This window comes from Homo sapiens, chromosome 7 (genome assembly GCF_000001405.40).
Source record: "Homo sapiens chromosome 7, GRCh38.p14 Primary Assembly".
NCBI classification, from domain to species: Eukaryota; Metazoa; Chordata; class Mammalia; order Primates; family Hominidae; genus Homo; species Homo sapiens.
This window is the reverse complement of record NC_000007.14, coordinates 68,301,746-68,324,977: the sequence shown is the minus strand read 5'-3', so window position 1 is coordinate 68,324,977 and position 23,232 is coordinate 68,301,746. Positions and strand designations below refer to the sequence as shown.

Genomic DNA, 23,232 nt, shown 5'->3' with positions numbered 1-23,232 from the left:
AGCTAAAGGGAAGTTGGCATTGCGCATTGGAGAACATGTTACAGAATCATGCAAAATGAAGTAGGGTTTTGGGCAGGGATATTAATCTGTATATGGAGGGAGGGAGGGAGGGAGGGAGGGAGGGAATGAATATATATTAAGCTCCAATCCAGTACTACACAGTGTAACAAGTCTGCATATTTATTCACGTATTCATTTAACAAATACCTATTACATCCCTTTTTGATAAATACCATGTGTACCGTCTAGGTTCTGGGCATATAGCCTTAAACAAGATAGCGATCTTGCCCACAAGAAGTGGTGGAAGAGTCAGGCAATAAATAAATAAATATATAGATAACATAAATAATGTCGTATGGTGATAAATTTTATAAACACTTTAAAGAGGCCAAAAGGGATAGAGTGATCAGAGACAGAAGGTGCTGAATGTTGTCCCATGATCCTGGGGGAAGGTGCTCCTATTGTTACTGGGGGTCCTTGCTCACAGAGCTCCCAAGATGGCGGAAAGCCACTTCCAAGATGGTGGCAGGCTGCTTCCAAGATGGTGGCAAGCCTCATGTTCTCTGACCTGGGATTCTTGGCCTCAGGGATTCCAAGGAATGGAATCTTGGGCCATGCGGTGAGTGTTATAGCTCTATTAGAAGCCATGGGTCACAGAAGAGAACCATGGAACCCAGTGACTAGTGTTCAGCTTGATTAGGATGAACCCGGGCACTTAGCTGTGCAGGAACAATGGCAAGCCTTTAGCCCAATCAGGAGTGCCAATGGGCGCCTCGCTGGATCAGGAACACAGCAGACACCCTGCTGGATCCGGAGGGATGGGAGTCAGCAGCAGGTCTGCGATGGTGGCAAACAGCAGTGGTGGACAGTGAGCGAAAGCTCAGCTCAAGCCGTAACAAACATGGACCAGAAGATTGCAGTTGCAAGATTTAATAGAGTGAAATAGAGTGAAAACAGAGCTCCCATACAAAGGGAGGGGACCTAAAGGGGGTTGCCGTTGCCAGCTAGAATGCCTGGGTTTATATACCGATCATTGTCCCGCCCGCTGTGCTCTCAGGCAACAGATGATTGGCTATTTCTTTACCTCCTGTTGTTGCCTAATTAGCATTTTAGTGAGCTTTCCTTACTATCTGAATGGTTATGTGTGAGCTAAGTTGCAAGCCCTGTGTTTAAAGGTGGAAGCGGTCACCATCCCAGCTAGGCTTAGGGATTCCTAGTCGGCCTAGGAAATCCAGCTAGTCCTGTCTCTCACTATCACCAAAGCTCAGTACACTACATGGAGGCATGTGTGATGGAGAGCTCTGTGGGATTCTATCAATTGTGCAGTCTAGTGTTACACAGTCTTTCTATGTAAAAATCCCTACAGGTAGGCAGGGCTTCTCCTACCCCCAGTGACAGCCCTCAGACACATTACGATGGCCTCCAAAACAGGGCAGTGTTTATCCCATATGCTTTTATCTCTAGCAACCTGATGGAGAGCTCACCCCTCTGGTCTTGAGAGGGAGCAGGGGCCTTGTTACTGGGGCCTGTGGTCCTCCTCCAAGCATGAAAATAAAAGAAAATCCTAAGTTCCTTCAAGGAAGGTTCCAGGCACTTAGCCAGCCATGAGAAACAAATAAGCAACTTAATAAGCAAGAGGGTAATAGTAGCTTAAAACAATAGCCAGGGAAGTTTCAAGCCTTTAGAGTCATGAGATGTTCCCTATGGAAATTAAATATAACATCTTAACACATAACACATATCCCTGAATTGTTTTTCAGAAATCCAGCCCCCCATCAAATCAGTCCACTGGCTTATAGACCTCAGATAATGGGGAACTGAGGACTGAAATCGGGCCCCTGCTCTTGGTTCTAAATTTCTTCCTGTGAGATCTGGAAGAAGTCACACCCGTGAGGCAGAGCTAACATTCTTCTCTGCCCATCCCAAATCTGTAGACAAAGCTTTGCCTCCAGAACCAATTGCAGATCAGAACATCTTTGACTCCCCCTGTGATCTGCGGGCCTCTGCTTCAAGACATCCTGCCCCTTTAAGCCAAAACTGATGTGTAAACTCCATGTATTGAGTTATGATTTTGCCTGTAACTTCTGTTTTCCTGAAATTTACCCCTGCCTTTAAAATCCCTTATCTGCAAGCTATCAGTGGGGAAGTCAGGATTTAAGCATTATCCGCCTGGTCCTCCTTGCTGGGCACTCTGCAAATATCCACATTTCTTTCTATGACTGCAAAGCCTCAGTGTGGATATGTGGTCTTACTGTGCCAGGTAAACAGCCCCCGGTATGGTTCTGTAATAGTCTTCTTGTTGAAACTGAAGGTACTCTTATACGCAGGGATGGAGATACGATAAGAAAAGGGTTCCTTTAAACGACCCTATACTTTCCATCCGGTGTGCATCTCTGAACTCCTGAAATCTCTTAAATACCTCCGAGGAGCCAGCTTGAAGAATTCAACAGCTATGGGCAGCTCACTCAGTAGACAGAAGACAAGAAAGTGGTCTTTACAAAAGAGTGCAGAGATAGCTTAAGGTCATTCCAAAGGGAGATGTCAAACCATCTTCTGTGGCCTTGTCTCCTCCCTGGAGAGGAAAGGGTAATGAGTAGCCACAGCTGCTAGAAGGGAAAAGAATCACCTGATTTCTCTGTTGCCCTCTAGATAGCCTTCTTCTCCAGGTGCTCTGCCACCCGGGCATGATGAATAGCATTGTGGCTCCCATGATTCACTCCTCTCCTAGCCTCAACCTTCAGCATGTGATTTTGCAGTTCCTCCCCACCTCCACTTTGGGTAGAGTATCTTTCCTGCCCCATTGATAGAGGGCATGGCCATGTAAATTGCTTTGACCAATGTGTTGTTAGCAGACACATGCCAACAAGAGCTGGAAACATGCATGTGTAGTTTAACTTTCCCTCTTGCATTTCCACCACAACCACGGGAACACGTTCGGTATAGCCTGCAGCTGATCCAAGGAGGATGACAGCTAAGTAAGGCAACAGAAGCAAATCTACAACTTGGAGCCAAGATCAGCCAAGCTGAGTCCAGATCAGCTGACCCCAAGCCAAGTCCAGGCATGTGAAAAAGAATCAGTGTTGCTGAAAGTCACTGAATTATGAGATATTTTCTTACACGGTGTTATTGTTGCAATTTTCTCATTGATGCATAAGGGTAAACAGAACATCCCCTGGTACAAATCTTGATAGCAGCAAAAAATATTCAAATAAGAGCTTTTAAGTATCAGAGGAAGATTTTTTCAGACATAGGAGCGAGTCTGTCCTGAAACATCAGCACAGAAAACTGTGCTGAAAAAGTCTTATTAACTAGAAAACACCAGTGCTGACTTAACTCAGTGACTTCAAAGATCTAGGGTCATGCTTTCTTTAAAGCCAGCAAGCTCTGCTCTGCATTTGACCCCTGCTGGACTGAGTTATTTTGGATCTGTTCTTGTGACTCTGGGGCTTAAAATAGTCACTGCTGAGCCATCTGTCTTGGGATCCATCTCACTTCTGAAAGGTATAGCAGCTGTGGCTGAATTGAAAGCAGCTCCTGTTAAGAAAGTGAACAATCTCTCGGCTTTTCTCCATCCTATGAGTGTGCCCAAGGGAGAAAACAAAATAGAGGGCATTTGGCTGTCAAAGAAGGATAAGAGCTTAAGAAACGAACCTGGGAGATGCTGGGCAGATAGCAAAGGAGAAATGGGACAGCTGCCAGAGGGCCTGGAAGGGAGCCAGGTTAAATAAAGTTCAGACAAAGATGCTGCCAGCTGGAGGTGGTGAGGGAGAATGGCCCAGGGCATTGCTGTGTAATAGTGGAGCAGCAAGGTGTGGTAGGAAAGGGTGTGGGGGTCAGGAGACAGAGGCCCCCAGCCAGTGACTAAGCTTAAGCACCGACGTTGTCATTGTATGACCTTCTGCAACTCTGTGCAACTCTCAGCCTGAGCTTTTCCACCCTTAACGTGGAATTAATAATATTGATCTCAGGTTGTAAGAGTCCATCAGAATAATTCAAACAGGAACCAGATAAACTGTAGAGACCTAAGTGAAAATGTCACACACATGTGAAGATGATCATTTCAACAGGGCTAATACCAGGACCTGTCATTTTTACTGTTTCATGGTATATTTCCAGTACTTAGTGCACTATATAATATAATATATAATATAGTATGTATTATACATACAAGACTCTGTCTTGTATATACAGCATATACAGCTGTATATACAGTCTTGTATATACAGCATATACAGCTGTATATACAGTCTTGTATATACAGCATATACAGCTGTATATACAGTCTTGTATATACAAGACTGTCTCAAAAAAGAATTATTGACTTTATGATATAATAGATAAAATATGATAATTTAGTAATAGATAATGCATAATACATATTTTATAGTAATATATAATAATTATAGTATATATAATAGACAATAGATAATAATCTATAATTATATTATATATAATATATAATTATTATATTACCTCATATAATATATGATCTACTATACAATAATAATATTATTTATATAATATATAATACATAATAATAATTACATTATTTATATACTATATAATAATTACATTATTTATATACAATATAATGATTATATCATTTTATATACTATATAATGATTATATCATTTTATATACTATATAATGATTATATCATTTTATATACTATATAATGATTATATCATTTTATATACTATATAATGATTATATCATTTTATATACTATATAATGATTATATCATTTTATATACTATATAATGATTATATCATTTTATATACTATATAATGATATCATTTTATGATATATAATGATTATATCATTTTATATAATATAATATATAATGATTATATCATTTTATATAATATAATATATAATGATTATATCATTTTATATAATATATAATGATTATATCATTTTATATAATATATAATGATTATATCATTTTATATAATATAATATATAATGATTATACATTTTATATACTATATAATAATTATATTATTTTATATGCTATATAATAATTGTATTATTTTATATAATATAATATGTAATAATTATATCATAATAATAATTATATAATATATAATATATATTAGTCTGGCATATAGACACATGCTAGAGACACACACACTGAATAATTTCATTATTCAATCAGTAAATGCCATTAACACATGTGGCAATAAATATTATTTACATTCCTGGAAAAGTAAGAAATAGCTATTGTCTTTATCTAGAGAGCTCCTGGAAGTTGCATTCTAGTACAGAATAGAGAACAATAGTCAACCTGCCTACCTCACAATCACATCAGAGCACTACAAGCAACTGCTGCCATGAGCAAGATCCCAGCCCACAAGGAAAGGTGAGTTGCTGGTGCAGAACTCAGGGGGAAGCTTGTGGTCATGAGGAAGGGGCAGGCTGCTGGAGAAAGTGCCTGTCCTCCTTCTCTCTGTTTTCTAAGCCTCATGTATTTTTCATTTGCAGCCGCTAGGACATAGTGTTTACATAGGACCTGGTATCACACAGACCCTGGGTTGCCATTTACAATCCTTCCAATCTTTGCAAAGTTGCTTGATCTCCTGTATGCTTCATTTACTCATCTGTGAAATGGGTATTAACAACCTGCTTACTTCCATGGGTGTTTAGAGCAGGGGTCAGCCAACTGCCACCTATGTGCAAGCTCACCCCTGCAGCCTGTTTTTCTACATAAAGTTTTATGGGAACACAGCCAACCTCACTTATTTACATGTTGTCTATGGCTATTTTTATGCTTCAGTGGCAGAACTGAGCAGCTAAGACAGGGGCCAGATGGCCTGCAAAGCCTCAAAGAGTTACTATCAGGCCCTTTATGGAAAGAGTTTGCTAATTCCTGGTTTGAGGATTAAACAAGGTAATACATGTGAAACCTTTAATACAGAATCTGGAATTTGGTGGGCAGTCATAAAATGGTGTTGTTGTAATGGCGATAAAACTAAATATCTGCTTTTAAGTGTTTCAAGAGAAGGGTTGTTCACATAAATAAGTTGGGATGGGAACATGGGCCACAGGCTTAACAAGACTCACCCGGGTGCCATAGAAGCCTACGGGAACCCTAGCCCCATTAACACAGCCTGGTGCTCCCATCAAAGGAAGAGAAAGAGGAACATGGGAAAGCTCAGGAGGCTACAGGAGAGAGACACCAGGGTGGGAAGGACTCGAAATCATGACACTGAGTCATTTGGCAGGCAGTTCAGTGAACATTTGCTCCTCCTGAGTGAGAATTCTTGGCAGAGAAGGGGTTAACCCATTCCACGAAGAGCATTTTGGGAACTTCCAGGGACAACACATTGTACCTATTGGAAGGCTTATGTGGCATGTGAAGAACTCGAGATGCCTTAAAGAGCTACTGGCTCCATGCAATGCTTCACATACTTTTTATTGGCCACTCTCTCTCTCTCTCCTTTTTTTTTTTTTAATTTTATTTTAAGTTCCAGGGTACATGTGCAGGACGTGCAGTTTTGTTACATAGGTAAATGTATGCCATGGTGGTTTGCTGCAACCGTCAACGAATCGCCTAGGTATTAATCCCTGCATGCATTAGCTATTTGTCCTTGTCCTGACGATGTCCTTCCCTCCACCACCACTCCCCCTCCCTGACAGGCCCCAGTGTGTGTCGTTCCCCTCCTGAGTCCATGTGTTCTCATTGTTCAGCTCCCACTTATGAGTGAGAACCTGTGGTGTTTGGTTTTCTGTTCCTGTGTTAGTTTCCTGAGGATAACAGCTTCCAAATCCATCCACGTCCCCTGCAAAGGACATAATCTTGTTCCTTATGGCTGCAAGGTATTCCATGGTGTATATGTACCACATTTTTTTTTTTTGAGTTGGAGTCTCACTCTGTCACCCAGGCTGGAGTGCAATGGTGCAATCTTGGCTCACTGCAACCTCCGTCTCCCGGGTTCGAGCAATTCTCCTGCCTCAGCCTCCTGAGTAGCTGGGATTACAAGTGCCTGCCACCACATCCGGCTAATTTTTTGTATTTTTAGTAGAGATGGGGTTTCACTATGTTGGCCAGGCTGGTCTCGAACTCCTGACTTCATGATCCCCCTGCCTCGGCCTCCCGAAGTGCTGGGATTACAGGCGTGAGCCACCACACACGGCCATGTAGCACATCTTTATCTCTTTCAATCCACAATTTATCTCTTTAATATCCTCTGTTTGTAAAGCTGTGCTCTGCTTACTTAGGTATTTCCAACATGGCTTTAAAAATTTCAGTGGCTTACTCAACAAACCTTTTCACTGGAACAAACCAATGAGAAGTAGAAGAATGTTTAAGTAGGCTGGCAGCCAGGTAAAAGGGAGTGGAAAGGCAGAGACAGAATGTCCAAAAGTCTTCTTCAGTTTTAGTGTTTAGAAACGCATGATCATGTAAGCATTCTGGAATAGGCTGAATATTAAGTTTTCCCTTTGCAACCACACTCAGTGCTACCTGGACTTCAAGTAAGCTGAGCATTGATTGTCCATTAACTCGCAGCCATTGATTGAGTCCTATTCAAGAATTATTTATTGAGTGGGAGACTGAGGCACGAGAATCACTTGAACCTGGGAGGTGAAGGTTGCAGTGAGCCAAGATTGTGCCACTGCACTCCAACCTGGGCAACAGACCAAGACTCTGTCTCAAAATAACAATTATTATTATTATTATTATTTATTGACTTTGTGAGCTATAATATCTTAGTAGTGAACTCCCAGGGTTATTGTTTTATTATCAAAATAGACTCATAATACTCAACTATCATTTATCAAGGACTGGCTATGTGTCAAGCATTATGCAAAAGATTTTTACATACAATTGGCTCTTTGTATTTGTGGGTTCTACATCCATGGATTCAACCAACCAAGGATTAAAAATATGTGGGAGGCTTGTGCTTGTGATCTCAGCAACTCAGGAGGCTGAGGTGGGAAGGATCACTTGACCCCAGGAGTTTGAGGCTGCAGTGAGCTATGATGGGACCACTGCACTCCAGCGGGAGACAGAGAGATACTCAGTCTCTATCAAAAAAACAAAAAAAAAAAGAAAAAAACTGAACAAAAGTCAATAAAAAAATACAAATTAAAAAATCTATACAGTATAACAACCATTTACATAGCATTTACATTGTATAAGGTATTAGAAGCAATCTAAAGATAAAATTGAAAGTGTACAACAGGTTGTACGTAGGTTATACACAACTACTACACCATTCTGTAGCATAAGGGACTTCAGCATACTTGGATTTTGGTATCCGAGGTGGGTGGGGACTAGAAGGTGGAAGACAGGGGTCCTGAAAGCAATCAATCCCCCATGTATATCAAGGGAGGACTGGACATGGTTTTATTGAATCCTCAGAACAACCCTTCATGGTTTTAGAGTTGATCATGCAGAGACCTAGCACCATTAGGTGACATACTCAGCTCATAGAGCTAGCCACAGAGTCAAAATTTGAACCAAGTTTGCAAATTGCTATCTCAGCATCCTCTCAACTTCTCAATGCCACTTTATAAAAGAAGGCATCCAAAGAGTTGCCCAGAACACAGCTGGTGCAACTTGAAATACATGCCTCCCGTGATAAAGTGGAAATTTCCAAGAAGATGCACAAATGTGGGGGGCATTTGGCCTTGCTGGACTCACTTCCCCACCCAGAAGGCAGGGAATGAGATGGTAAGGCTGACTACACCGTGCTGGCACCTAAACCCAGGCATTGTCCCTACATCTTCAATCAATACTATGTACCTGTTTTTCAACTTAAGTCAAATCATCTCTTCAGTGACACTGTCAGAGGCATTTGAACCACAGCAACTCCATCTTGAATAGGGGCATTCTTAGTCACAGGAAGAGATAGGAGGTTGGCACAAGATACAGGTCACAAAGACCTTGCTGATAAAACAGGGTGCCGTAAAGAAGCCAGCCAAGACCCACCAAAACCAAGATGGCGACAAAAGTGACTGCTGGTCATCCTCACTGCTCATTATACATTAATTATAGTGCATTCGCATGCTAAAAGACATTCCCACCGGCACCAAAGACAGTTTACAAATGCCAAGACAGTTTACAAATGGCAATGTCTGGGAGTTACCCTATATGGTCTAAAAAGGGGAAGAAGCCTCAGTTTCAGTAATTGCCCACCCCATTCCCAGAAACTTCATAAGTAATTCACCCCTTGTTTAGCATATAATCAAGAAATAACTATAAGCGTCCTTAGTTAAGCAGTCCATGCCACTGCTCTGCCAATGAAGTAGGCATTTTTTTATTCCTTTACTTTCTTAATAAACTTGCTTTCACTTTACTGTATGGACTCACCCCAAATTCCTTCTTGCCTGAGATCCAAGAACCCTCATCTTGGGGTCTGGATCAGGACTCCTTTCTGGTAACAAGACTATATAGGTTGACGCTAGTTTGTAGGGTAGCAACGAGGGAGGAGTAGACAAGGTCCCCTTTTAAAGAAAACCAAACCCCCAAATAAGCACATTTAAATTCTCCTTTATTTAGCACAAACCCTTGAAGCCACTCTACTCTTGTTTTGTTCTTTTTGTTTGTTTTTTGTTTTTGTTTTTGAGACAGATTTTCGATCTTGTTGCCCAGGCTGGAGTGCAATGGCGCGATCTCGGCTCACCACAACCTCTGCCTCCTGGGTTCAAGCGATTCTCCTGCCTCAGCCTCCCGAGTAGCTGGGATTACAAGCATGCGCCACCACGCCCAGCTAATTTTGTATTTTTAGTAGAGACAGGGTTTCTCCATGTTGGTCAGTCTGGTCTTGAACTCCCGACCTCAGGTGATCCAACTGCCTCAGCCTCCCAAAGTGCTGGGATTACAGGCGTGAGCCACCACGCCCGGCCACCAATCTCCTCTTCAGGGAAGTTTTCCACTCCACTAAATTTAATGGCGTTCATATATTTTCAACCTGCTTTTTTCCAGGCAAATTTATAGAATGTAATAAATCTTCCGGTGATGAAAGGTAGCCACAGTTAAAGTTTTCTGTGTTCAGTTGCCCAAAGTAAAGCTCTATCTAAACATTATCTTCACCCAGTTTGACTTCTGTGTCTTCCTAGTGTCTCCTGGGAAAGTTGGCTATGGATGGTGGTTTGATTCTGATACAGGAGCTAAAAAGAAATTATTTAGGCAGATAGTGAGGGTAAGATAGCCCTCAGTAAGGTTTTCCTTTAAAAAAATAAAAGCAGCCCCCAAATCATTTCTTTTCTAACAAAGAGCAACCTGTAAAATTAAGCTGCAGACATAGAAAAGCAAGCTGGAAGCTTGCACAGGTGAATGAATGCTGGCAGCTGTGCCAATAGGAAAAGTCCACCTGGGGTCTAGGCACCTAGTAGGTCATGACTTACAAGTATTTCTTCAGCCCTGTGTGTGCAACTGTTATTCTCCAGCCTCTTTTCGCTGGAATCTCTTTGCCCCTTGGGACAGCCTTATTGAAAAGGACCCAAGATGACCCACAGCTGCTCTATCTGCAGTACTGGCCACGTGTGCGCCACAGGAAACACTCGTCTTCCCTGTGCTTGGCAGACCCTTTGCTGGCCAATCCCAAGTCCATCGTCCCCAGGCTCTACCCTCAGGGCAGGTGGTCAGCCCTTCCCTCCAGTATCTTGGGTTACGAGTCTGACTCCATTCACAAAGCACTTTAACATTCTCAGGTATCAGTTCCCCAGTGTCTCCCAAAAGCAGGGAGCACTTTTTAAAATTCTGAATGGTGCTTTTGAAACTCTCTTTCCTTTACCTCCTTTACAGGGGGCGATTCAGCACGACAGATCCCCTTTGTAGGAATATTGTTGCAGCACTCACTCTGGCCCCTGTGAGTACCCTGGATAATCCACAGTACAGATTCTCTTTATTTCCTTGAAAATAGCAGCATATGCAGATTTACCTCATTCTCAATTTGAAACCAAACACTATTGAGGCAGGAGAATAGGGTTTGGAGGCAGGTAACATAAGGCTGACTCATGGGGACTTCCTAGAACTAAATCAAATAGAAACACTTCAGCTATGACAGGAAATATCCTCTCCATTTTCACAGGACGTACACTAAGTAAATGACTGTGTAACATTTTTTTTTTGAGGTAGATTTTCGCTCTTGTTGCCCAGGCTGGAGTGCAATGGCACGATCTTGGCTCACCACAACCTCTGCCTCCCAGGTTCAAGCGATTCTCCTGCCTCAGCCTCCTGAATAGCTGGAATCACAGGCATGTGCCACCACGCCCAGCTAATTTTGTATTTTTAGTAAAGAAAAGTTTTCTCCATGTCGGTCAGGCTGGTCTCGAACTCTCCATCTCAGGTGATCTGCCTGCCTCTGGCTCCCAAAGTGCTAGGATTACAGGCATGAGCCACCGCACTCGGCCAGCTTTGTAACTTTACTTCATTCTCTTCATTTACACAGGGCATACCCCAGGTAACCAATGGGAACCTCGAGAGTATATTTAAACCCCAGAAAATTCTGGATAACGGGGATCTTGAGCCCCTGTGCTTGGACCCGCTCCCACCCTGTGGAGCATATTTTCATTTTTAATAAATCTCTACTTTTATTGCTTCATTCTTTCCTTGTTCTGTTTGTGCGTTTTGTCCAATTCCTTGTTCAAGAGGTCAAGAACCTGGACACCCTCCACCAGTAACACTAACATTGGCATAAAATGGAAACTGAGGCAGGAAGCAACTAGTCTACCTTCATGCTCCACTGTTCTTTCTTTTCTCGGGAAGTCTGTCATCCTGGCTAGCACAAAAAGTTATCCAGACACTGGAAAGAGCCAAAAAGGAAGATTCTAATATAACTTCCCATCTCAATCCTTCCTCACTCCTCATTCCCTGTCAGCCTGCTTTCTGATCTGAGCTGCAAATCTATGCCCTGTGGATCTGGAAGCTGACTCTATGGAAGTCCCTCTTCTACAGTGGAAATCCTGCCTGACTGTCTCCAGTAGAGGCAAACCATATAATGGGAAGAAAATACAAAATGCAGATTTAAGGCCAGGCATGGTGGCTCATGCCTGTAGTCCCTGTATTTCAGGAGGCCGACGTGGGAAGATCACTTGGGGCCAGGAGTTCGAGACCAGCCTGGGCAACATAGTGAGACCCCCTGTATCTACAAAAATAAAAATGAAAAAATTAGCTGAGTATGGTAGTACACACCTGTAGTCCCGGCTACTTGGGAGGCTATGGTGAGAGGATTACTCAAGCCCAGGAGTTTGAGCCTGCAGTGAGCTAAGATCACACCACAGCACTTCAGCCTGGGTGAAAGAGCAAGAGGAGGGGAGGTTCTAAATAGTCCACATTACGGGTGGGAAAGCAATGGAAAGTTATTTATGGGGGGAAAGAAGGAAGATCCTGAGAGATAAAATGTTATGCACGAAGGAGTATGACATGATAGTTCAAAAACAAGGGAAATTAGGGCTCTGACAGCACCTGCTCTGAATCATACATGAGCCAAATAGCATCAGGATTATTTTTTGACGTCCACCCTGCTCCTGGCTCTTGGATGGGGGCATTCCAAGCACTTTGGGGGATGAAGCTGGGGTGGAAGAGCAGTGACAACCTTATTGAATTATCCCAGAACTTTAGAGATTCACCTTCCACGTCATAGCCTTACACAGCCAATCTCATTAAAACTGTGTCTCTGATGGTCAAAGTGACTCAGCTATGGGTGCCAAGTACCACCTCATTTTACCCCTGATACTAACATAAATAATAAGTAAGGGCAATCATTTTCTTGCATGCCAATGAGAAAGGTAAATGTCAGAGACCTGGAGATAGGTGGATGTGGGAGGACAGGCATGTCGTCAATGTCAGAAAATTCAGAGTTTAAGGGCAGGTTAGTGCCCTCTTGTAGATGACTCACGTAAGCATGGTGTGAGCAGTCAGTAGAGACACGGGAGCTAAAAAAAATCATTTAGGCAGTTAGTGAGGGTAAGTAAGTCCTTCGTAAGGTTTCCATTTTAATAAAAAGCAACCCTCAAATTATTTCTTTCTTTTTTTTTTTTTTTTTTGAGACGAGTCTCGCTCTGTCACCCGGGCTTTACTGCAATGGCATGATCTCAGCTCATTGCAACCTCTGCCTCCAGGATTCAAGCAATTCTTCTGCCTCAGCCTCCCAAGTAGTTGGGATTACAGGTGCCCGCCACCACACCCAGCTATTTTTTTTTTTTTTGTATATTTATTAGAGATGGGGTTTCACCACAAATCATTTCTTTCTTTCTTTCTTTTTTTTTTTTGAAAGACAGTCTTGCTCTGTTGCCAGGCTGGAATGCAGTGGTGCAATCTCGGCTCACTGCAACCTCTGCCTCCTGGGTTCAAGCCATTCTCCTGCCTTAGCCTCCCATGTAGCTGAGATTACAGGCACGTGCCACCACACTCAGCTAATTTTTGTATTTTTAGTAGAGACAGAGGTTCACCATGTTGACCAGAATGGTCTCGATCTCCTGACCTCATGATCCGCCGGCCTTGTCCTCTCAAAGTGCTGGGATTACAGGCTTCAGCCACCACACCCGGCCAAATCTTTTCTTCTCTAACAAAAAGCAGCCTGTAAAATCGAGCTGCTGACATAGATAAGCAAGCTGGAAGCTTGCACGGGTGAAATGCTGGCAGCTGTGCCAATCGGAAAAAGCTACCTGGGGGCCAGGCATGTTCAACATGGCGGCTCCATCTTCTCTCTTCTTTGTCAACCTTGTGTACAGTAAAGGAACAGGCAACATGGCGCCAGCCAGGTAGAGACCCCATATTCATAATGCAGGATGAGGATGGGATGGCCAGCTTCTTCACACGCTATGTAAATGGCACAACTCGTCCAACCAATCTTTTGGGCCCTATGTAAATCAGACACCACCTCCTCAAGCTAGTCTATAAAACCCCGTGCATTTCACCATGGAACTGGAAGACCCACTTAGGAGCCCCTCCATCTCTGCAGGGCAGAGAGCTTTTTCTCTTTCTCTCGCCTATTAAACTTACACTTTTTTTTTTTTTTTTTTTTTTTTGGCGACAGAGTTTCGCTCTTGTTGCCCAGGCTCGAGTGCAATGGAGCGATCTCGGCTCACCACAACCTCTGCCTCCCGGGTTCAAGCGATTCTCCTGCCTCAGCCTCCCAAGTAGCTGGGATTACAGGCGTGCGCCACCACGCCTGGCTGATTTTGTATTTTTAGTAGAGACGGGGTTTGTCCATGTTGGTCAGGCTGGTCTGGAACTCCTGACCTCAAGTGATCTGCCTGCCTCGGCCTCCCAAAGTGTTGGGATTACAGGAGTGAGCCACTGTGCCCAGCCTGATACTCTAATGCATAAGAGATGGCTGGGCAACATAAAAGGCTAAAAACACCAACCAATACTCATATTATTATAAGTGGTTTGAATAAGGTTTCAGTAGCTGATGATGCTGAAACCAACAATTCATGACCTGTGAATTGTGAGTTTCCACAGTCTGCTTAAAAAATACAACTGAGACTCACTCTGTAAGTGAAGGAGAGTGATTGAAGAAACGAAAAAAGATTTGACTTCAGGCTACCATGCTATTTCCAAATGTCAGCTGATGAGTAATGAGTTACTAAGTGATTGTTTTAGAAAGAAAAGAAGGTATACACTTTTTCCTCCTCCATTACATTTATATAAGTAGAAATATTCTAAGAGTTTGCTGAAATTGGAGCACCAGTAACAATATTTGCCTTTTGATTTTGTAGGGCAGAAAGCTGAGCCAGCCAGCCATTTTGGAAATGGAGGCTTGGGATTGGATTAAGTGGTCTTGTGGTCATGTGAAAACTTTGTTCTGTCACCACTGTCCCTTTAAACTTACTTTCGGGGGAATTTTGGCCTTGTGTGAGCATTTTTATCTCTGGCAAGCTCCCTTCCTCTCTTAGATAATAGAGATTATCTCCCGGGATTACAAGGACAGCTTCTCCACAACGAATCCTGATATCATTTGGCACTTGGAGCTCGACAGCTTGGAAATCTGGGCCACATCCGAGTGACAAAGGCAAGCTTCTTGGTGTTACCTGGGGCCTTCCCAACTAGCAATTCCTGTGGTTCTGGAGAGATCCCTCTTGCCTAGGAGACAATTCCCTGGAATTTGATATTTATAGGAAATGGCAACCTGGTTTTGTTTAGTCAGACTATTCAGGTCTAGGAAAAAGCAGATCTCCTTATCGGGCACCATGAAGACATGAGAAGCAAGCTGACCAAAAAGACAAATTGTACACTGGTGCCTTGGAGTCAGATCAATATTCAATTCCTGAACAACTGGCGGAGTGACTTAACCGAGAACCTCAGTTTCCCTTGTGAGGAAGCAAGGACTCTTCACAGAAATTCTATTTCTTCTTCCAGGAGCTTAACAGAATGCCATTTCCCTTATCCCATCCCCTTTGATATTAGGCATGGCCAGATGACATGCTAGGCCAAAGAAATGGAGGTGCAACAGACACGTGTCACTTCTGGCTGTGAGCTGAGAGACAGCTTGTTATTCACCTGCTCTCTCTGTCTCTCTCTCTCTGCATCCCTGATACTAGCAAGAGTGGCTGCTCCATTTCCTGGGTCTTAGGGTCAGGAAACCTGGGAGCTAAGCTATCAGCTGATCAACAGTTAGAGATGTGGTGTGAGTAAGAATCTGTTGTTGTAAGTTGCTAAGATTGGAGGGTTGTTCGTTACCATAGCACAAGTTAGCCTGTCCTGATACAAGAATCAGTTAGTTTTCAAGGAGATAGAGGAAAATTAAAGGACATAAAGGAGTGAAGCGTGTGCCATCTCAAAACATACCAGATTAGGATCTTGATTATTTCAAGTTGAAAACATTAGAGAAATTGTAGTTTCAGAAAGGGCTGGCTGGCCTGTCTCTTCCTACATGTAGCAAGTGTGAAAGATTTCTCACACCAGGTGAGAAAATAGCTCTATCACCAGAGACTTGGGATGGAAAGCTTCAAAGGACCTGAATAAACGTACTTAATTATGTAACCCATGTTGCCTCCATCTCTACTAAAAACACACACAAAAATTAGACAGTTGTGGTGGCACGTGCCTGTGGTCTCAGCTACTCTGGAGGCTGAGGCATGAGAATCGCTTGAACCTGGCGGGCAGAGGTTGCAGTGAGCTGAGATCACACCACTGCACTCCAGCCTGGGCGACAGAGCAAGATTCAGTCTTAAAAAAAAAAAATGTAACCCTTATCTTCAACCTCTTTTTCACTCCCCTATACATCTCCTAGTAACTCCTCCAGAAAATGTACTGCCCCCAGCCAGATTTTCTTTTGTCTTGCCATTTCTTCTCAATTTTATTATTCTTTGTCTAAATAGTACAAAAGCATCTTGCTTTCGCCACTTCTTTGGTCTTCACTCTCTTGTGAAGATCCCCATGTACGCATAAAACTAAGAAAATTTATATAGTTTGCTCTTGTTAATCTGCCTGATGTCAGTTTGGTTTCTAGATCCAACTATAAAGCCCACCGGCTAAGAGCTAAATGTGTGTTGGAGGGGATCTCTGACTCCTCTACAGAAGCAGAGCGGCAAAGCCTCTTGCATGGTGTTTGGCTTATAGAAGGTGATTTATTTATTCAATCTTTAGGATCCTACTATGTACCAGATGCTTGGGACACATTGGGACATAAAACAAAAAGTGATCTCTGCTCTCTCTCTCTTTTTTTTTTTTTTTTTACTATCTAGAGTTGATAGACACTGCTATTGTTGTATGTTGATAACAGACTCTACTTGCATAAATGCTGGAGTAGGGAGTTCTGTGCAGTCATAGAGGAAGACCCAAGAAGGCCTTGAAATGCATCATGGCAGCCACATTCATTCTTAAACACAAAAACCACACTGGAATTGTGTACAAGGCAATGTCCTCATGAAAGACCATCATATGGGCCAGGCGTGGTGGCTCACGCCTGTAATCCCAGCACTTTGGGAGGCTGAGGCGGGCAGATCATGAGGTCAGGAGATCGAGACCATCCTGGCTAACACAGTGAAACCCCATCTCTACTAAAAAATACAAAAAATTAGCCGGGCGTGGTGGTGGGCGCCTGTAGTTCTAGCTACTTGGGAGGCTGAGGCAGAGAATGGTGTGAACCCAGGATGTGGAGCTTGCAGTGAGCAGAGATGGTGCCACTGCACTCCAGCCTGGGTGACAGAGTGAGACTCTGCCTCAGAAAAAAAAAAGAAAAGAAAAAAGAAAAAAAGAAAGAGCATCTTATATACACAATTGGGGTAAATTTTGTCAATATTGTCTTTTGCAGAAGAATATTGATAATAGCTGCTATTTATTTTGCACTTGCGATGCTCCAAGATTTGTGCTAATGTTTTCTATGCATTATCTCGTTTAATAGGATCCTTACAAGAGTAAAATTGATATCGTTATAACGATTTTATACATGAGGGAATTAAGGTTTAGAAACTAACTTACTTACCCAGGGGAACAGAACCGAAAAGTGGCAGAGTGTGAGTTCGAATCCCCATCTGATACAAAAATAAAAATATACAGGATACAGGCATATAATACAATCTCAACTGGAAATACAATAGTACACTACTATTGTTTTCCATATAGATACGCTTAAAAAAAATAGGCTTGAAGTTCAACAACTGGCTCTTGGGCAAAAAGTGTATCACACACAGGTTGCATTAGTTTGGCTGGATATATTTTTGTTGTGGTGGTTGTTTTTGGAAGCTTCATAATCAGTCTTGGCAAAATGATCTGTGTGCAAAAACAGAGAATTATTCCAGATGCTGTGTTTGTGAACCTTAAGGAAAAAACTCAGCCCTGGTAAAATTCCCATAAGGCTAGCTGCTTAGGGCGACAACAGGGAAGCTGAATCTGTAAGGTTCGGGGATAATTCAATAAGGCTGTCATTGCTCTCCCATTCCACCTCCAACCCAAGGGTGCCAGGAATGCCCCTGTCCAAGAGCTGGGAGGAGGGTGGATGCCGAGAAATGATCCTGATGCTATTTGGCTCATGGATGACTCAGAGAAGGTGCTGTCAGAGCCTGATTGCCAATGTCATCCTCACTAGGTGATTTCATCCTGGGAGAAAGACAGCCACCAGCAGGGTTCTAGAAACATGATTTTCTTTCCTCATTTGACTGACAGGAACGAGGTGACAGAAACAGTGGGCTTTCACATAAAATGATGCCTCTCCCTTCATGTTATTCCTGCAGCAGAGCTGCAAGCATGACATTCACAGTAACTCATCCTGTCCAAAACAGAGCTCATTATCTCTCCCTCCTCGGTCTTCCCTCTCTTGGATAATAGCACCACCATATACTGAGTCACCCCAGCTGGAGAGCTAATAAGTAGGCAAGAAGGAGTAGAAAGGCCTGAGGATATGGAATTAGAAAAGCAGGATGTAATTGACATCTTTACAATAGAGAGAGAGTCTTGGGGAAATTAACCAAACCTCTCCGAGTTCCAGCTTCCTCTCACCTGGGAATTATCGATATTATGATAATAATCCGGATGTATAAGATTTTCCCTGTCCAGCATCAAGTCGGGATTTCTTTTTTTTTTTCCTTAGTCCAGTGATTTCTTTAACTGCAGTGGCTTATCTTGCATTACCAGGTCTGAGCTCTATGACTCCGATTTTCCCATCATTGTCTATGAGTGCTTCAGAGGCATAGGCTTGTAGCTCCGACTTTCCCACTCACCCAAGTCTGTCAATCATTCCACTGTAGCTGTGCAAACTTCCGCTTTTTGAGGGGACAAGGGAGGATCATCAGCTTTATTTATGTTTATGTTATTTTTAATTTTTAATTTTTGTGAGAACATAGTAGGTGTATATGTGTATGGGGTACATGAGATGTTTTGATAGAGGCATGCAATGTGAAATAAGTGCATCATGGAGAATAGGGTATCCATCCCTCAAGCACTTATCCTTTGAGTTACAATCAAACTACCCTCTTTAAGTTATTTTAAAATGTAAAATTAAGGGACTATAAATTAGTTCAGCCATTGTGGAAGACAGTGTGGCAATTCCTTAGAAACTTAAAGACAGAAATATAATTTGACCCAACAATCCCATTACTGGGTACATACCCAGAGGAATATAAATCTTTCTATTGTAGAGGCACACGCATGCATATGTTCACTGCAGCACTATTCACAATAGCAAAGGCATGGAATCAACATAAATGTCCATTAATGATAGACTGGATAAAAACAATGTGGCACATACATGCTACGGAATACTATGCAGCCATAAAAAAGGACAAGCTTATGTCCTTTGTAGGGACATGGATGGAGCTGGAGGCTATTATCCTTAGCAAACTAACGCAGGAATGGAAAACTAAATACTGTATATTCTCACTTACAAGTAGGAGCTAAATGGTAAGAACACATGGACACATAGGGGGAAACTACACATCCTGGGGCCTTTCAGAGGGTGGAGGGTGGGAGGAGGAAGAGGATCAGGAGAAATAACTAATGGGTACTAGGCTTAATACCTGGGCGATGAAATGATATGTATAACAAACCCCCACAACACAGGTTTATCTAGGTAACAAACCTACACTTGTACCCCTGAACTTAAAAATAAAAGTTCAAATGAATAAATTAATTAATTAATAAAAATAAAAATAAACTAATAAAAAAAGTAAAATTAAGTTACTGTTCACTATAGTCACCCTGTTGTGCTCTCACATAACAATTCTTAGTCTTTCTATTTTTGTACCGATCAAGCTTCCATTTTTAATAAAATGTATTGATTTTATGATTATAGAAGGAATATACATTTTTGTTAAAAATGAAAATATAGGCTGGGTGCAGTGGCTCATGCCTGTAATCCCAGCACTTCAGGAGGCCAAGGCGGGAAGATCACTTGAGGCCAAGAGTTAGAGACAAGCCTGGCCATCATAGTGAAACTCCATCTCTACTAAAAATACAAAAATTAGCCAGGCTTGGTGGCGAGCACCTGTAGTTCCAGCTACTCGGGAGGCTGAGGCAGAAGAATCACTTGAACCCTGGAAGCAGTGGTTGTAGTGAGCTAAGATCATGCCACTGCACTCCAGCCTGGGTTACAGAGTGAGAACCTGTCTCAAAAAAAAAAAAAAAAAAAAAAAGAAAATATAGAAAAGTCCAACAAGCCAACCAAAAAGAATAAAAGCATCATATAACACATGCTGCAGAGACAGCCACAGATGTCATATTGTTAGACTCATTTTCTGTGTCTGCTTAAGAACACTAAAAAATGAACATCTCTGTGACAAGTGCATCCTCATTATAGGAAGAAGTCCATCCCCGAGGCAGGGTGAGTCACAGGGACTGGAACACGAGGGCTCCTGCTGCCTTGGAAGAGTCAGGGTCTGCTCACATGGGCATCAAGAGTCCTAAGCAGGGGGAATAACTTCTGGCCTGAATCACAGCCCCTGGCCCTCCTACCACAGGAGGATGCTTCCATAAATTGTATTCAGAAAAAAAAAAAAAAGCTCATTTCAGTCAAAGACAAACTGTAATATAAAAGAGACCAAGATAGAAGCTATAAAAGAAAACAGGAGGAAAGGGACAGAGGGAAATGGCAAATGAGAAATGCATGGAGAAAAATAGGGTCTTTGGCAAGAGGACCAGTATCACCAGGCTTTCATTCAGTAAAGAAAAGCTTAAAGAGGCATTTATGAAACTAGAGCTCAAGCAGAAATAGCAGCATGCAGAGAAGATATGGCAAGACAACAGAGATGAAATGTTAGCTGGAAGAAAGTAGTGAACAAGCAGGAAGAAGAAGAGAAAGATAAAGCTACTGAGAAACATAAGCTGTGTTAAAGGAAGGACAAAGAAGAATTAGCATAGCTGAAAGCACAGGAATTATTATGAAGAAAAGAGTTGAGAACAGCAAGCAAAATAGCTGGGTACAGCGGCTCACGCCTGTAATCCTGGCACTTTGGGAGGCCAAGGTGTGTGGATCACTTTGAGACCAGCCTGGGCCATATGGTAAGATCCTGTCTCTACAAAAAAATTAGCCAGGTGTGGTGGTGCGTGCCTGTAGTCCCAACTACTCGGGAGGCTGAGGTGGGAGGATCACCTAAGCCTGGGGAGGTTGAGACTGCAGTGACCTATGATTGTACCACTGCACTTCAGCCTGGGTGACAGAGTGAGACCCTGTCTCAAACAAACAAACAAACCAACAAACACCTATACACCTATTTCATATATGTATATAGAGAGTACCTATATAATCTATATCTATGTATCATGTATCTGTCTATCTATCTATGCGGAGAATAAAGTAAAAAAAAAAGTTCCAACATGTCATAATTGTTGTCCCCAAGAAAAAGATTAAAATAACAAAACAAAAATATATATTTTAAGATTTACTGTAAGAAAATTTTCCATAAAAAGTTTAAATCTATGTAACAGAAACAGCAAACCATGGCTCTCAGGAAAGCTGACATGCAACTATCAGCACCAAAATATTTCCTAAGAAATAGTAAACATGGCTGGGCATGATGGCTCATGCCTGTAATCCTAGTACTTTGGGAGGCTGAGATGGGAGGATGGCATGAGGCCAGGAGTTTGAGAGCAGCCTGGACAACATAGTGAGACCTTGTCTCTACAAAAGTAAAAATTAAAAAAATATTAGCCAGGTGTGGTGGTGCATATCTGTAGTCCCAGCTACTCAGGAGGCTGAGACAGAAGGATCACCTGAGCCCAGAATCTCAAGGCTGCAGTGAGCTGTGATTGTGTCACTGTACTAGCCTGGGCAACAGAGCGAGATCATGTCTCAAAAACAAAACAAAGAAAACAAACATACAAACAAAAAAAAATCATTCTCAAAAGGGACTATCAAAGGATATAACTGTTTCCAATTCCAGGTTCAGACACCCGCATCCCTATCATCCAATTAAAAAAAAAAGAACAAAAATAGTACACATTATGGATAAAGAAATAATTCCTTGGTCATTGAATCAAAATATCAAGTTGTTCCTGTGCATAAAAATTACAGGATGGGCCTTAGGCTTGCTTCTCTATATTCAGTGCTAGAGACAGTGGGGCTATACCAAATATCTTCAAGATAAGAAACAGTGACCCAATCATTTTAAACCCAGCACAACTTTTGCTAAAGCATAAAGGCAAAAAAAAAAAAAAAAAAACATTTTGGCACTGTCATAGGAATAGACATTTAGATTAATGTAATAGGATTGAAAGTCCAGAAACAAACCTTCAAGTTTACAGTTAACTGATTTTCGGTAAGTGTGCCAGAACAATTTTTTAAACAAATTTTGTTGAAGAAATAGAATATCCACATATTAAAAATGAAGTTGGACCCCTACCTCACAGTGTATACAAAAAATTGATTCAAAATGCATTAAAAGATTAAATGTTAAGAGCTAAAACTATAAAACTCCTAGAAGAAAACATAGGCATAAGTCTTCATAACTTGGATTAGGCAATAATTGTTTACATATGACACCAAAACCCAAGAAACAAAAGGAAAAACAGGTAAATTGGCTTCATCCAAATTAAATATTTTTTTGTGCTTCAAAGGACATGATCAAGAAGGTAAAAAGACAACCCACAAATTGGAGAAAATATTTGCAAATCATATATCTAACAAAGGAATTGTATCTAGAATATGTAAAGAACTCTTACAATAGAATAATAAGAAAGAATAACCCAATTTAAAAATGGGCAAAAGATTGAAATAGACCATTCTCCAAAGAAAATATACAAGGTTGACCATGGTGGCACGTGCCTGTGGCCCCAGCTACTTGGGAGTCTGAGGTGGGAGGATTGCTTGAGCCCAGGAGATTGAGATTGCAGTGAGCCATGTTCACACCACTACACTCCAGCCTAGGTGACAGAGCAAGACTCGGTCTAAATAAATAAATAAACAGAAAGAAAATATACAAATAGCCAATAGAAAAATAAAAAGATGCTTAACTTCAGTGGACACCAGGGAAAAGCAAATCAAAATCACAATGAAATGGCATTTTATATCCACTAGAATGCCTATAATATAAAATAAAGAGGGAGATAATAATAAGTGTTGGTAAGGATGGAGAGAGATTGGAACCTTGTGCATTGCTAGTAAGAATGTAAACTGGTGCAGCCACTCTGGAAAACAGTTTGGTTGATTTGGTTGATACTCAAAATGTTAATCACAGAATTGCCATATGACCCAGCAGTTCCACTTCAAGGTATGTATCCAGGACAAATGAAAGTGTATGTCCACACAAAAACTTGTACACAAATGTTTATATCACCTTATTTATCACAGCCAAAAAGGTAGAAATAACCCAAATCTTTATACACATTTTGGATAAATAAACTGT

At 41.8% G+C, this 23,232-nt stretch overlaps 1 long non-coding RNA gene across 3 annotated transcripts in view; it reads left to right on the top strand.

The window, feature by feature from the left end:
- The first annotated feature begins 5,283 nt into the window (after nt 1–5,283).
- The window catches only part of LOC105375341 (uncharacterized), a 170,147-nt gene continuing 152,198 nt past the window's right edge, over nt 5,284–23,232 (top strand). For all 3 annotated transcript variants that reach the window (NR_187905.1, NR_187906.1, NR_187907.1), the window contains exon 1: nt 5,284–5,362. This is a non-coding gene — a long non-coding RNA (uncharacterized LOC105375341). The remainder of the gene's footprint in view (nt 5,363–23,232) is intronic.